The sequence below is a fragment of the Homo sapiens genome, chromosome 6, assembly GCF_000001405.40.
Source record: "Homo sapiens chromosome 6, GRCh38.p14 Primary Assembly".
NCBI classification, from domain to species: domain Eukaryota; kingdom Metazoa; phylum Chordata; class Mammalia; order Primates; family Hominidae; genus Homo; species Homo sapiens.
In genome coordinates, this window is record NC_000006.12 from 73783052 (window position 1) to 73796851 (window position 13800).

Here is a 13800-nt window from a genome sequence, read left to right on the forward strand (position 1 = left end):
CTGGGAGTACATTTGTTGTCACAGGATGGGAAGCACTCATGATTACCTCCTGTGACCCCTGGCAGTGCTGCTAACTGAACCCTGCTCCTCACAAAGCATTCCCAGGAGTCACAGGGAGAAGGGGCATGGGTGGTGGAAAGAATTCAGCTTGGCTGATAAACCCCGTACCACCTGGCCTGATAATTGAGCAGGTAAATCATGAAATCCACATAGTATTTTATAGTCAGCTGTTTAAAGATACTTGAGTTAACACATGAGTGAAATCTCAAGGAAACAAATAACAGCATTGACAGGGATACAGAGAAAAACTTCTGCAAATTTAGAGAAAAAATTGGAGTTAAGTTTGAAAATGTGTATTTATTATCTATAAAAAATTTGTGAAAAAATAATGTTTATTCTGAAGATGTAAATTTTGCAGGAAGATTTTATTAGAATATGGATCAATATGCAGTATTATGACCTTATGATGACCTATTCTTTGAAAAGTTGGGATTTACTGTTTTATACTTAAACCTTTTAAATGGTTTTAAATTCAGATATGTAAACAATAGGAAAAATTGAAATTCTTCCAAAAATAGTTTAGATTATTTTGGCTTATTTCAAAATGTATCAGTTCTTGGTTTTGTGATGTTTATATTTATTATCTTGACTTCAGTTACAGGATTTACCAAGAATTTGAAGTAACTGTACCTGATTCTATCACTTCTTGGGTGGCTACTGGTTTTGTGATCTCTGAGGACCTGGGTCTTGGACTAACAACTACTCCAGTGGAGGTATTGTATTAAAGAGCTGCTTATCAGTATTACGGTGACATTAAGCTAATACAGCGTCAGCTCCTCAATTTTTTTTTTAAATGACTGCTTATAATGTTTATCACAGTTTAGAGATTCCTTGGCTTTGTCTTTTGGTTTTTATCTGTTTTATATTTAAGAATGTGAGCTATATATAGCTATATAAACTGCTAAATGTGCAAAGTCCGTATTAAGATTTGGGTAGAAAAGTTTATTATTGACCTGAACTAACCATCTCCAAAGGCCAGAAGAGAGAGAAAGAAAAAGAGAGAGAGAGAAAGAGGAGAGGAGAGAGAGAGTGAGTCTTTCTATTTGTCCTCTTCAAGAATGAACAGAACTTCTCAAGATGTTCCCTAGCCAATATTCCATCATGTCTTTTGGTCAAATTGCATCATATATTGTTTCCTAAGCCAGTCACTGGCAGGAGGAATATAATGACCATGAGTGGCCTGAATTTTCTCATTTGAAATTGAAATGTAATTTTGATTTACAAAATAATCGTATTCATGAAAAATACAGTGTAGATTGAAAAATGCTTTGGGTTTATATAGAAATTGGAATTAGATTGTAAGCTCAGGCCACTATAAACAGACAATTCAGCAACATGAATGTCTGAAGGGACATTCAAGAATCATTAGGAACATGGGGCAATTTTTCATTGTCTGGGGCTGTCCTGAGTATTGCAGACTGTCACCCACTAACTACCTATAGCACCTTCGAGTCATGGTGACAATCTAAGACACCTTCACAAATGTGCAGATAAACTCTAGAGGGAGTTACTGCTGCCAGCAAAACCACTGGCCTAAACTAACCCAGGTTTAGCTTTAGATGCAGGTGTGGGGCTTGGCCTTTTCTGTAGGACTTGGCCAACAATATCAGAATTGGGTCACTGAGGAGGAAGCACATGTATTCAGATGTCCCACACATTTTCTCATCTGTATGTAAAAATAAATCATATATATGTTTTAGAAATAATTTCCAATTTCCTCTTTAAATTTAGTCAGGAAGCACATGTATTCAGATGTCCCACACTAGAACAGGGGCTGTTGGATTTGGCAGGGCTTTTAAAGCAGATTGGTGGAGTCAATACAGCATGAAAGAAGAGCAAATTGCTTCGGGATTAGACAGGCTGGGTTCTAGTTCTGGCTCCTCTACTTGCCAGCAATATGAATTTGTACTAGTTACAAAAATCTCAAAAATTTAATTTTCTTTTCTATAAACTAGGAGACTAACAGTAACCTTATGGGGTTGTAATAACCAAACAAAATAATTTATGTGAAGTGTTTGGTTGCTATAAGGCACTTAATAAAGTATAGCAATTATTATGTTAAGTAACATAAATCAAGTCAATTTGCCGTCATTCATTTGTGATAAGTTGCTGTTTGCTTTCTGTTGATAGCAAGTTGACATTTCTAGCTGAAGTTAAAAGCTTCACAGGTTTTATAAAGATTGCATTTAATTGCATAAAATGTGAAGAATTTTGACCTGAATAAAAATATGTACTCGTTGTGTTCTTTCCAGCTCCAAGCCTTCCAACCATTTTTCATTTTTTTGAATCTTCCCTACTCTGTTATCAGAGGTGAAGAATTTGCTTTGGAAATAACTATATTCAATTATTTGAAAGATGCCACTGAGGTAATGTATTCAAGCTTTTGTTGATCATTTACACTACAGGAGAAAATCGAGGTAGCATGAAGGGATTGGGTTGTGTAGTATCTGGGCATTTGGGATTCTAAGCACTTTATACATTTCTGGGAGGCTGAAAATAGACATGTCTTGTCAGTGATTTCTTCTGCTAATTAATGTCTAAGGATATCATTAGCATGTCTACACATTACCTCCTTGAATTTTCAGCATAGGTTTTCCTCTTTTGCCATGTAAGTTCCTTATTGTCTCTGAAGCATGCCTTTCTCTTTCCTGCCTCCCTGCATTTTCCCCTGGTTTTCCCCACATCTAGAATGTGTGGCCACTTCTCACTGCCACTCTGTGCCCACTGCAGTTTTGTTTTTTTTTTTTTTTTGAGACATGGTCTTGCTCTGTTGCCCAGGCTGGAGTGCAGTGGCGTGATCTCGGCTCACTGCAACTTCCACCTCACAGGTTCAAGTGATTCTCCTGCCTCAGCCTCCGAGTAGCTGGGATTACAAGGGTGCACCACCACGCCCAGCTAATTTTTGTGTTTTTCATAGAGACAGAGTGTTGCCATGTTGGCCAGGCGGGTCTTGATCAAGTGATCTGCCTGCCTTGGCCTCCCAAAGTACTGGCATTACAGGCATGAGCCACTGCACCCGACTGCCATTCTGTTATGTTTGTAGCCCCCATGTTTATATTTTCAAGGATTCACTATTGGATTCACGTACCTTGTATCTCCTTAGCTAGTCATTTCCCTGGGAGGCAGGAATTAGGTTCACTGTTTGTGTTGTGCCCACAGTATGTTAACCAAGTGACTGATTTTTCTTCCCCCAGAATAAGTAGAGATACGTAATTAACTTTATTACATGGATGAAAATGACATGATATCTTTAGGCACTTTATATATAATTTTTTTTAATTTAAATTTTAATTTTTTAAGCTTTTTATTGGCATATTTGGCTGACAAAGTGGGAAGTAAATTTTTTTAATTTTTTAATTTTACTTTTTAACCCAGTTATCATGGTACCATGTAACAAGCAAAAGATCTAGAGTCTAAAGGCCTGGATTCAATGTTTAATCTACCACTTACCAGCAAATGACTTAATTGTAGTTTCCTCATCTGTAAAATGGAAATGATAATTATTACACCCACAAAAGATACCTTGAGAAGCAGATGAAAACATCAATGGGAAAATAATTCGTAAAATTTAAGGCCTAGATAAATGCTATTATTGATGAGACTTGCAACTTTGGGATAATTTACAAAAGTTTACAACCAAGATATGCTTCAGGACTAATATCTGAGTTGTACTTTCCTTGGAATAATTTTTTACAGAGACTTCAATAAATTCAATAACATTTCATGCTGTTTTCTTCAAATTTTTCTAATGAGACCAGTATGTTCCAGGATGACATAGTTAAATCAAGCTAGTAGTAATATCAATATATGAAATAGCCTTTCTGTGCACATCCTTACCATCTAATGGCTTCAGATAGTGAGAGAATTTAAAGTTAGTGGGAGGACTAGAAATGGGGCTGAAGATCGCCCTTTCCCCATGTATCTTGAGGTTGAGGGGAAAGCATAGAAAAGAAATGAAGTTTTTCCTGATACTCTTTGATACTCTCCTTGGTCGAATCTTTGTCTCATCTTTTCGCTAGTCTTGAGCCTCACAGATTTGACAGTACTTAAACTGGTGATAAAAGAGCACTTTACTGAAGAGCATCTATTATACAAAAGCTTTGATTTATTTTTTTCTTTCAGGTTAAGGTAATCATTGAGAAAAGTGACAAATTTGATATTCTAATGACTTCAAATGAAATAAATGCCACAGGCCACCAGCAGACCCTTCTGGTTCCCAGTGAGGATGGGGCAACTGTTCTTTTTCCCATCAGGCCAACACATCTGGGAGAAATTCCTATCACAGTCACAGCTCTTTCACCCACTGCTTCTGATGCTGTCACCCAGATGATTTTAGTAAAGGTAAATATTTGATGTCTGAAAGAAGTGAAATGGAAATACGTAATTAAAAAGGAAGCAGAAGGTTTTTTCTCTTGGTTAAATTTGTTGGCATATCTAGTAGGTCATCTTCTTTACCCTTCTGGTAATGCCTAATCACTTTCTAATCTGTATGTAAAAATAAATCATTTAGAAATAATTGCCAATTTCCTCTTTAAATTTAGTCAGGAATGTGACTATAAAGACTAACGTCTCTTTTGCAGTCATTTACATCTACAGACTGTGTTACGTTGGGATCCTATTAAAACACGGCCAAGTCGATTTGTAGATTTGGAATTTTGGAATTTTTCAGTGAAGGTAAAAGAGATTTTGTAGATTTTTTTCAGAGAAGACATTCTAGACAGAAAGATAATGAGCATAGTGGATAAACACTTGTATTCTGGGGTGAGGCAACCCTGTGTTTGAATCTCAGCTCTGCCAAGTGTGATTTTGAACAAGGCATTTAATCTCCCCCTCTTTGGATAATAATAGGAACTACCTCAAAGGGTTTTTTTCCTTACATTTTCATCTTCTTCTTTGTCATTTTCAAGGCCAGTCCATGAGATGCCTTATCTAATTTAACTAGAACTTACTAACAGATTTGAAGTAAGAATAACAAAATGGTACGCGCTGTGTCATCAGATTTAATTCATTTCCATGGAAATGGTGCCTATTAAGTGTAAATCCTGTGAAAAACACGTTTCAGTTAATGAAGGGTACTGTACTTAGTGAGAAAATCTAAAAGGAAAAATTAATCAAAGTTATGGTAATTTTTTGTAATACAGACTAACAAGAAAAACTCATTCTGTGAAATGAATGTATTACTTGTTTAAATAAAATATCTAATTTAAAGAAAACAAAATAAGAAATGATAGGTGCCTATTTAGCCACACACAAACCTCAGACACAACAGGTCAGATGTTTGTGCTCATATCTGCGTATAGTTCTCTGTAAACATGTGAGTAGAGACCATGTTAATTGTGTTCATTTTTTTCAACAGGCTGAAGGAATAGAAAAATCATATTCACAATCCATCTTATTAGACTTGACTGACAATAGGCTACAGAGTACCCTGAAAACTTTGAGTTTCTCATTTCCTCCTAATACAGTGACTGGCAGTGAAAGAGTTCAGATCACTGCAATTGGTAAGAATAGAGTATATCACCATCTATTGGTTTAATTGTATATGATCATATATGTTGTTCTTGTAATTATAGATGTATTTTCTTATTGAGTCCTAATAAGAAGAGATGGCAAAAGTTTTTAATTGGGCCCAACAACTCATTATAATATGAAGGCTAGCAAATTATGTATCCTAAAACTGTTCTCAATCTTCAATGTGCATAAGAATCACCTGGGAGTCTTGTTTAAAAGCAAATTCTGGTTTAGTAGGTCTGGAGTGGGGCCTGGGAATCTGCTTTTCTAACAAGCTCCTAGGTGTTGGTGATACTCTGGCTTGTAGACCACACTTTGAGTAGCAAGGCCTCACTATACTGTGGCTGGAGGGAGGGTTCATTCCTAAGAGCAGAGCTTCTGGCTTCTGTGGCTCTCCACCACTGGTGAATATCAGAATCTTCTAAGGAGCTCTGTAAATACAGAAACATCTGGGTTCTACTCTAAACCTACTAAGTCAGAATCACTTGGGCTATGGCTTGGTCATGTATATCTTAAAAAACTTTCACAAGTGATTCTGATAACCAAAGGTTGAGTACTCCTCCCTAGGGCAGTTCTCTGTGCAGGATATGAGTAACCTTTACAGTAGGAAGTTACTCACTGACTTCGGTCGCCTCTCCTAGTTACTTTCCATAACATAATAGTACTTTTCAAAAATTGGCAATTTATAATTGTATAAATTTATGGGATACAAAGTGATATTATGGCTTATGAATGCAATGTGGAATAACTAAATCAAGCTGGTTGACGTAGTCATCACCTCAAATACTTAACTGTTTTTTTTTGTGGGAAGAACATTTGAAATTTGCTGTCTGAGCATTTTTTTTTTTTGAGGCGGAGTCTCGCTCTGTCGCCCAGGCTGGAGTGCAGTGGCGCGAACTTGGCTCACTGCAAGCTCTGCTTCCCAGGTTCACGCCATTCTCCTGCCACAGCCTCCCGAGTAGTTGGGACTACAGGCACCCGCCACCATGCCTGGCTAATTTTTTTTTTTTGTATTTTTTAGTAGAGATGGGGTTTCACCATGTTAGCCAGGATGGTCTCCATCTCCTGACTTCATGATCCACCCGCCTCGGCCTCCCAAAGTGCTGGGATTACAGGCGTGAGCCACCGCGCCCGGCCTTTTTTTTTTTTTTTTCCTTTGATGGAGTCTTGCTCTGTCTCCCAGGCTAGAGTGCAGTGGCAGGATCTTGGCTCACTGCAACCTCTGCCTCTTGGGGTTCAAGCGAGTCTCCTGCCTCAGCCTCCTGAGTAGCTGGAATTACAGGCACGTGCCACCACACCCAGCTAGTTTTTGTAGTTTTAGTAGAGATGGGCTTTTGCAGTGTTGGCCAGGCTGGTCTCGAACCCCTGACCCAAAGTGCTGGGATTACAGGTGTGAGCCATGGCACTCAGCCTTTCTTAGCAATTTGGAAATTTACAATACTCTTGTTATTAACTATATTTACCATGCTAAAAGTCCTTTTTTTTTTTTTGAGATGGAGTCTTTCTCTGTAGCCCAGGCTGGAGTGCAGTGGTGTGATCTCGGTTTACTGCAACCACCGCCTACTGGGTTTAAGCAGTTCTTATACCTTGGCCTCCTATGAAGATGGGACTACAGGTGTGTGCCACCATGCCCGGCTAATTTTTTATATTTTCATTAGAGACGGGATTTCACCATGTTGGCCAGGCTGGTCTCAAACCCCTCACCTCAGGTGATCCACCCACCTCAGCCTCCCAAAGTGCCAGGATTACAGGCATGAGCCATTGCGCCCAGCCTAAAAGTACTTTTTAATTAGACATAGTGTCTACACAAATGGTGTTATTAATCAGGGTTCTCCAGAGAAACAGAACCAATAGGAGATACTTACATATAAAAGGAGGTTTATTATGAGGAATTGGCTCATGCAATTATGGAGGCTGAGAAGTCCCATGATCTGCTTTTGCAAGCTGGAGACCCAGGAAGGCTGGTAGTACTCACTCTGAGTCCAAAGGCCTGTGAAGCAGAGGAGCTGATGATGTAAATCCCAGTCCTAGGAGAAGATGAGATGAGATGTCTGAGCTCAAGTAGTGAGGCAGGAAAAAAAGGGTGAATTCCTCCTTCCTCAAGCTTTTGTCTATTCAGGCTGTCAGTGGATTGGATGGTGCCCACACACACTGGGGAGGACAATCTGCTGGACCCAGTCCACCAATTCAAATGCTAATGTCATCTAGAAACACCCTCACAGACACTCAGAAGCAATGCTTAATCTAGGCACCCCTTGGCTCACTTAAGTTGACACACAAAATTAACCCTCACAAATGGTTTGTTTATATAGTTGTGCTTTACAAATAACTGAAGAAAACATTTTAATTAATGACGTCTAATAGTTTGTTAGGTCTTTAAGGTGTTAGGACCTAAAACACTTTTTTACAGTTCTTTTATATTTCACTGGCAGATGTAATGCTTTTTTATTATAACCCAAACAACCAATCCATAGGCAGAGGACTTTATTTGGAGGCATATATATACATACATACATATATATATATATATATATATATATATATATATATATATACACACACACACATACATATATATATATATATATATATATATATAATTTTTTTTTGGAAGAGGCAGGGTTTAGCTATGTTTGCCCCAGGCTGGACTTGAACTTCTTGAACTTCTGAGCTCATGTAGTCCTCCTGCATCAGCCCCTTGCATAACTGGGACTACAGGCATGCACCACTGTGCCTGGCCAATTCTTAAAAGGAATTAAATAAGCTCTCTATTTAGGGGAATAAATTCTGCTTAAGCATCTCCCACAGTGTTGGGATGCTGGGACATGCACTACACATACATACACACACACACACGCACACATATACACAGAGGGAAGGAGCCTGGCTTTTTAAATATGTACCATCACTCCTTACACAGGAACGATTCTGTCTGTCGTCATGGAAATACCCCGAGGCTTAATTTTTATGCTTGATGTAAAGAACGGATTTTCAAGTTTTATTTTTACATGTTGTTTTAAAGACCTATTTTGTATCCCAGAATGTACGAATTTTAGCTTGCTTCTTTGAACTTTGATAGTCTATGTTCACTTTGAATATTAAACACATAGCCTGCAGTGGTAATAATATAACCTCTATTTTTTTCTTTGTATTCACATCTAAAATTTAAGCTATACTGGCACAGCTTCAGTCTATTCATATGAAACAGGTTCTTTTCCCTTTTTTTTCATATTCATTTTTTAGGATCACATTTTCACTAGGTATTTGGACTTGGCTTGGTATAAGTTTTCAAAATAAACTACATAGAAAGATACTCTTATCTATACAGCTTAACAATGGCAGGGCCAAAATTAGAACTCAGCCTTCATATTTCTGAATTTTTGCTACTTTCCCTGAGTTGTGGTGTTAGGATGTGGGTAGAGGGTTTTTAAAGCATGTGTTTTGTTTAATTTTAGATTACTAACTTTGAATCCTTTTCCGAATCCTTTTGATCCTGAGATTAATTGAAATACTTATATTTGTTGTTACTAAACAGAACACATTGGAAAACACTACAATCCTCATTGTTTTTTTAAAAAATTATTTCTCAAGTTCTTGTGGTGTATTAGTAAGAAATAAGAATAAAATTTTGTTTGCGTGAAGAATACTACTAATAAAATGTTTCTTTCCTGTATGAGTGATGGTGTCTTACTGATCAATTCTGTACATTTTTTTAAAGATTTTTAAAAAAATTATTTTTTGCCTAATTTATGCCACATGCTTAACTGAGCTAAAAATGTCCTCTTTCATCACATGACCTACAAGTTCAGTACCAGAGCATTGTTATTTTTTTGACCAGTCTTCCTAAAAGCTTGGTGTAAAGTTCCAACTCTGTTCCAAGCAGTGGAATAATGATATTGCTTCAATGACAGAGGTCTTCTGTACTCAGTGGAAGTCTCTTTGCCACCAGCAGGTCGTTGTTACTGAGTATTTACTGAATGAACTGCATGTCTTGTGCTTCCAGGAGATGTTCTTGGTCCTTCCATCAATGGCTTAGCCTCATTGATTCGGATGCCTTATGGCTGTGGTGAACAGAACATGATAAATTTTGCTCCAAATATTTACATTTTGGATTATCTGACTAAAAAGAAACAACTGACAGATAATTTGAAAGAAAAAGCTCTTTCATTTATGAGGCAAGGTAAGCATTTTAGAGACCTACATTTGTTCGTAGAAAAAAATTTGTTTTTTTCAGGTAGGGTTCATTCTAGACCATATTTCAAAATAGATGGATTTTGTCTTAGGTAAGTGATGGGCTACACGGTGTTGACATGTGCAGGAAGTGCAAACAATGGAAAGCTGTTACAATTCTTCCTTTAGCTAACTATTCACTCACTGCTGCTAAGATGTTTGTTAGTAATGGCTTAAGAGTTAGTTTCTGGTGGGAGGGCTTGTATTATACTAAGGGATCTGAAATTTAAAACTCTTTAAAAATCTAGAGGAATACTCATTCATTTTATTACACATTTGTGGAGTGTTTCTTAGTGCCAGGATCAGTTTTCGTGCCAAGAAAACAGAGGGAGCCAGGGCCTCTCTTCTTAAAGAATTCGCTGCTCAATGGAGAAGATGGTTTGTATGTAAACAGACGCAGTGCCGTGTGGTGGGGACCTTCTCAGTGCATTTAAAATGATGAGGAGGACCTGCTGGACCCTGAGGAAATGTCATGCTAGTGAAGACTGTATCTTGACACCTTGAAAGGTGGAAACTGTTCACAGGCACCAGATCCTTTGTTTTGGCAACTTGTTAATAACAGCAGCTAACATGAGTTGAGTGTGCACTGTGTGGCAGGCAGTGTTCTAAACACTTTACATCTCATACCTCATTGGAGGCTCACCATTAGTATTAGCATGATCCTGTTTTTTTGCAGATGAGGAAGCTGAGGTGCAGAAAAGTTAGCTAACTTGCCCAGGGTCATATAGTCATACAGAGCTTGGATTTGGACTCTGAGCCTATGCTCTTGACATCCATACCTAGGAGGAAACAAAGAGATGTGAGACACGTTTGATGTTAATAGTAAAGTAAATTTGATTTTCTGAAATACTCCAAAAGCTTACCAAAGTTACAGTCTCAGTTTTGTATTTCCTTATTAGTGGACCTCTAGCACAAACTCTCTGTGGCTGAGTTTTTCTCTCTGCACAATTTGTATGATATATCCCGTCCATCAAATTCATGAGGATTAGAAGGGTTCACACAAACTGATTAAAAATGAGGATTCACTATAATCTAAGAGAAATATAGTTCAACGCTTTCCAACTCCTAATTTTTTTAGTTTTTGTTTTTTTATAACAAATGGATTAAATGAAAAGTAGGGGCAAGCTATTAATTGATTGCTAATTTCTCCATAGGAGAATTAGAAAACTCAGTAAAGACGCCATTGTAATGTGAGCTTTTCTTCCAGGTTCCATTATTGTGTAGAGACCTTTTTATTCTAAAATAATTCTATGTAATGACAGTAATAACAACTAAATCTGTTTAAATGTTTTATGCATGTTTCATTTAATTCTCACAAAAACTCTAGGAGCAGGTGTCCTATTATTATTTCCATTTTATAGATGAGGAAATTGAGGCACAGAGAGGTTAAAGAATTTACCCATGGTGGTCTGGTTCCACCGTCCACCTTGTTCCTCAGAACACTATGGGATAATTCTGATTTGCAGTGTTCTCTGGTTTTTAGAAGCAATGGGATATGATGGAAAGGACCAGGAATCGGGACGGGATGCTTGAGTATCACCACCGTGTAAGAAGTCTCACTGGAGGTTTTGATAAAATATTAAGGGAGGAACATGGGGTCCTGTAGAGAAGGAGGCACCAAAGGTTAGAATATGGGGTGTCAGATTAGACTGAAGTAAGCTGTAAGGTGTTGGGTTTAAGTAGATGAGCTGGAGTCAGTGTCTGAAGATCTCCCTGGGATAGGATGGCACAGACAAAGGCTGAATGGGAGTCAAGGGGTTGCGGGTCAGGAACAATGCAGTGTATGAGATCACAAACCAAGGGAGACCAGCGTTTAGAATCAGGGCTGAGTGTGGCCTGAGTTCTGATGTGGGGAAGGACATAGTGGTATATTTTCCCTTAGATTAGGGCCAGACCATGCAGACACTATGACCGGCCCTGAAATGCACCAGGTGGTTAGGTCCTCTGGGATATTTGTAGAGATCCAGCAGTTGGAATTTCCTGTATAGAGTTGCCCATGTAAAATTATCCCTGTTTATACACATTTGTGGATTGGTCGTGTTTTAAATATATACGTACAAGAATAACCTTTGTCAAATTTTATTATAATTAAATTTAAGTGGTACCAAGTGGTCTCTGTGGTATATTGTGTGCCATGCTAAACACAAATGAGATCTTTACACATTGGCATAATGGCTGTAATTAAGGAGATAAGTAAAAATTATTTGGGATTGTCATGAATGAACGTTGTACCTTTTGAAAACAAGATTCCAATTTGTATTCAAGATTTAGTTTTTCTGGTTTGAAGTAGAAACTACATAGGAATTAGACTGGTGCTTTATAATTTGGCATACATTCTTTGGGATAGTTTAATACAATAAGGTAAAATATTTCAGAAAATGCCACATATAACTCCATATTTACATATGCTTTATGAACTGTAACTCTGGCTAATCAAATATTAATGCTTTAAACAGAAAGCATAAATTTTACATAGCTTGAAACATGTAAGCAGTGAAAACTCATTCCTTAAAAATAATTTCAGTGTGTGTCCTAGATACTTTTGCTGTGGATCAGCAGCCATCCTACAAAATGAATGGTCCAAATCCTCAGTATCTGTTGTTTTCCCAAAGCAGTGCTAGTCCCTCAGGTCAGTCCTGGCCAGGTAGGTGGCCAAACTGTAGTTTTTCAAAGTAACCCAGAAAGGGTCTCTACTGATTGCCTGAGATCCCTCCTCACATCTGTTGGTTGTTAGAAGGTACAGTGGCCAGAGTGCAAAAAAAGCATCGTTCTCTAAATGCCAAGCAGTCCTCCCAAGTGTTAAGAATGCCGAGCGCTACAGCTGTAAGTAGGCGAGTTTCCCCTTGGGAGGAAGTAGATCAGGGGCATAGCACTGGCTGTGGAGGCAGTCACACCTGGGCTTGAGTCCTGGCTCCCACCTTGGAACAGGTTCTTAGTGTCTCCAAGGCTTGGTTTTTTTACCTGGAAGACAGGGATAATAAAAGAACCCACTTAGTAGGGTTGTTTTTAGGAGTCAGTGAGAATAAAAGAACCCACGTGGTAGGGTTGTTTTGAGGAGTCAGTGAGATATGTCAGCATTTTATTCAACACGTAGTAAGTGCACAACAAATATCAGCTATAGTAGAATTAGTTGCCTCTAACTAGGGAGTTAGAGGTTAATGTCAGTGAATAAATCCTGTCCATTCTCCCTCTAAAAACCTGTATGAAATTCTTCTATTTCTCTCCATCCCACTGCTAATTGTTCCATTCAAGCATGATTGCTCACTGGACTACTCCAATGGCTTCCTGACTAGTCTTTTTCTGTGTTCCCTCCCCTTCAGTACATTCTCCATATAATGTAAAAGGGATCTTAGAAAATGTCAAGATCCTGTCACTTGCTTGCTTATGATCCTGCAGTGGGCTCCCGGCTTCAGCCTACAGGGTCCTGGGTGATCTGGCTTGGCCTCCCTCCTTAGCCTCATCTGGAGCTGGCTGTATCTGGAACACTCTGAGCTCCATGCTGCTTCAGGGACATGATGCTTTCCCTTCCTTCTCCTGGCATGCTTTCTCCCTAGGTCTTTCCATGGCTGCTCCTTTTCATCATTCAGTTGATGTTTGCCTCAGAGTGGCCTTCCCTGACCACTTAGTAACTCCAATTTGTACTACTCCATTTTATTTCTTCACTTAACATTATTTAAAATTATCCTGTCCATCATCTGTCCTGGCATTTAGAGGGGGAGCTCTGTGACAGTGGGGACCATGTTTGACCTTCATTGTATAGCTATGTGGGCATCTCAATAAATCCAGAATGGGCGAATAACTTATTACCAATATTAACTTTTTTGGACTTTAGGTCCATCATCCTAATGTGGATATTGGGTCCAGAAGATCTCTGAAGCGCCCCCACAGTGTAGCATGATGATCTCTGGGCACTAATGGGTCGACCTGGCCTTGGCATTCTCTTAGCAGCTAAGAAATGTGACCAGTGATTTCCATGTGCTACTCTTTTTGCTGGTGAAG

General features: G+C 38.5%; 1 protein-coding gene across 10 annotated transcripts in view, besides 1 other annotated feature; it reads left to right on the forward strand.

Moving 5' to 3' along the window:
* CD109 (CD109 molecule) overlaps positions 1-13800 on the forward strand; it is a 149122-nt gene that overhangs the window by 103860 nt on the left and 31462 nt on the right. For all 10 annotated transcript variants that reach the window (XM_047418211.1, XM_047418212.1, NM_133493.5 and 7 more), the window contains 5 exons: positions 656-773; positions 2313-2426; positions 4183-4401; positions 5417-5561; positions 9575-9751. In XM_047418211.1, the coding sequence (XP_047274167.1) occupies positions 656-773; positions 2313-2426; positions 4183-4401; positions 5417-5561; positions 9575-9751 (773 nt within the window). The remainder of the gene's footprint in view (positions 1-655; positions 774-2312; positions 2427-4182; positions 4402-5416; positions 5562-9574; positions 9752-13800) is intronic.
* Positions 6042-6242: a silencer, noted in NCBI's record as "peak5903 fragment used in MPRA reporter construct". NCBI's record gives its function as "represses an SCP1 promoter by STARR-seq MPRAs in K562 erythroleukemia cells {active_cell/tissue: K562}" and the evidence as "EXISTENCE:reporter gene assay evidence [ECO:0000049][PMID:32103011]".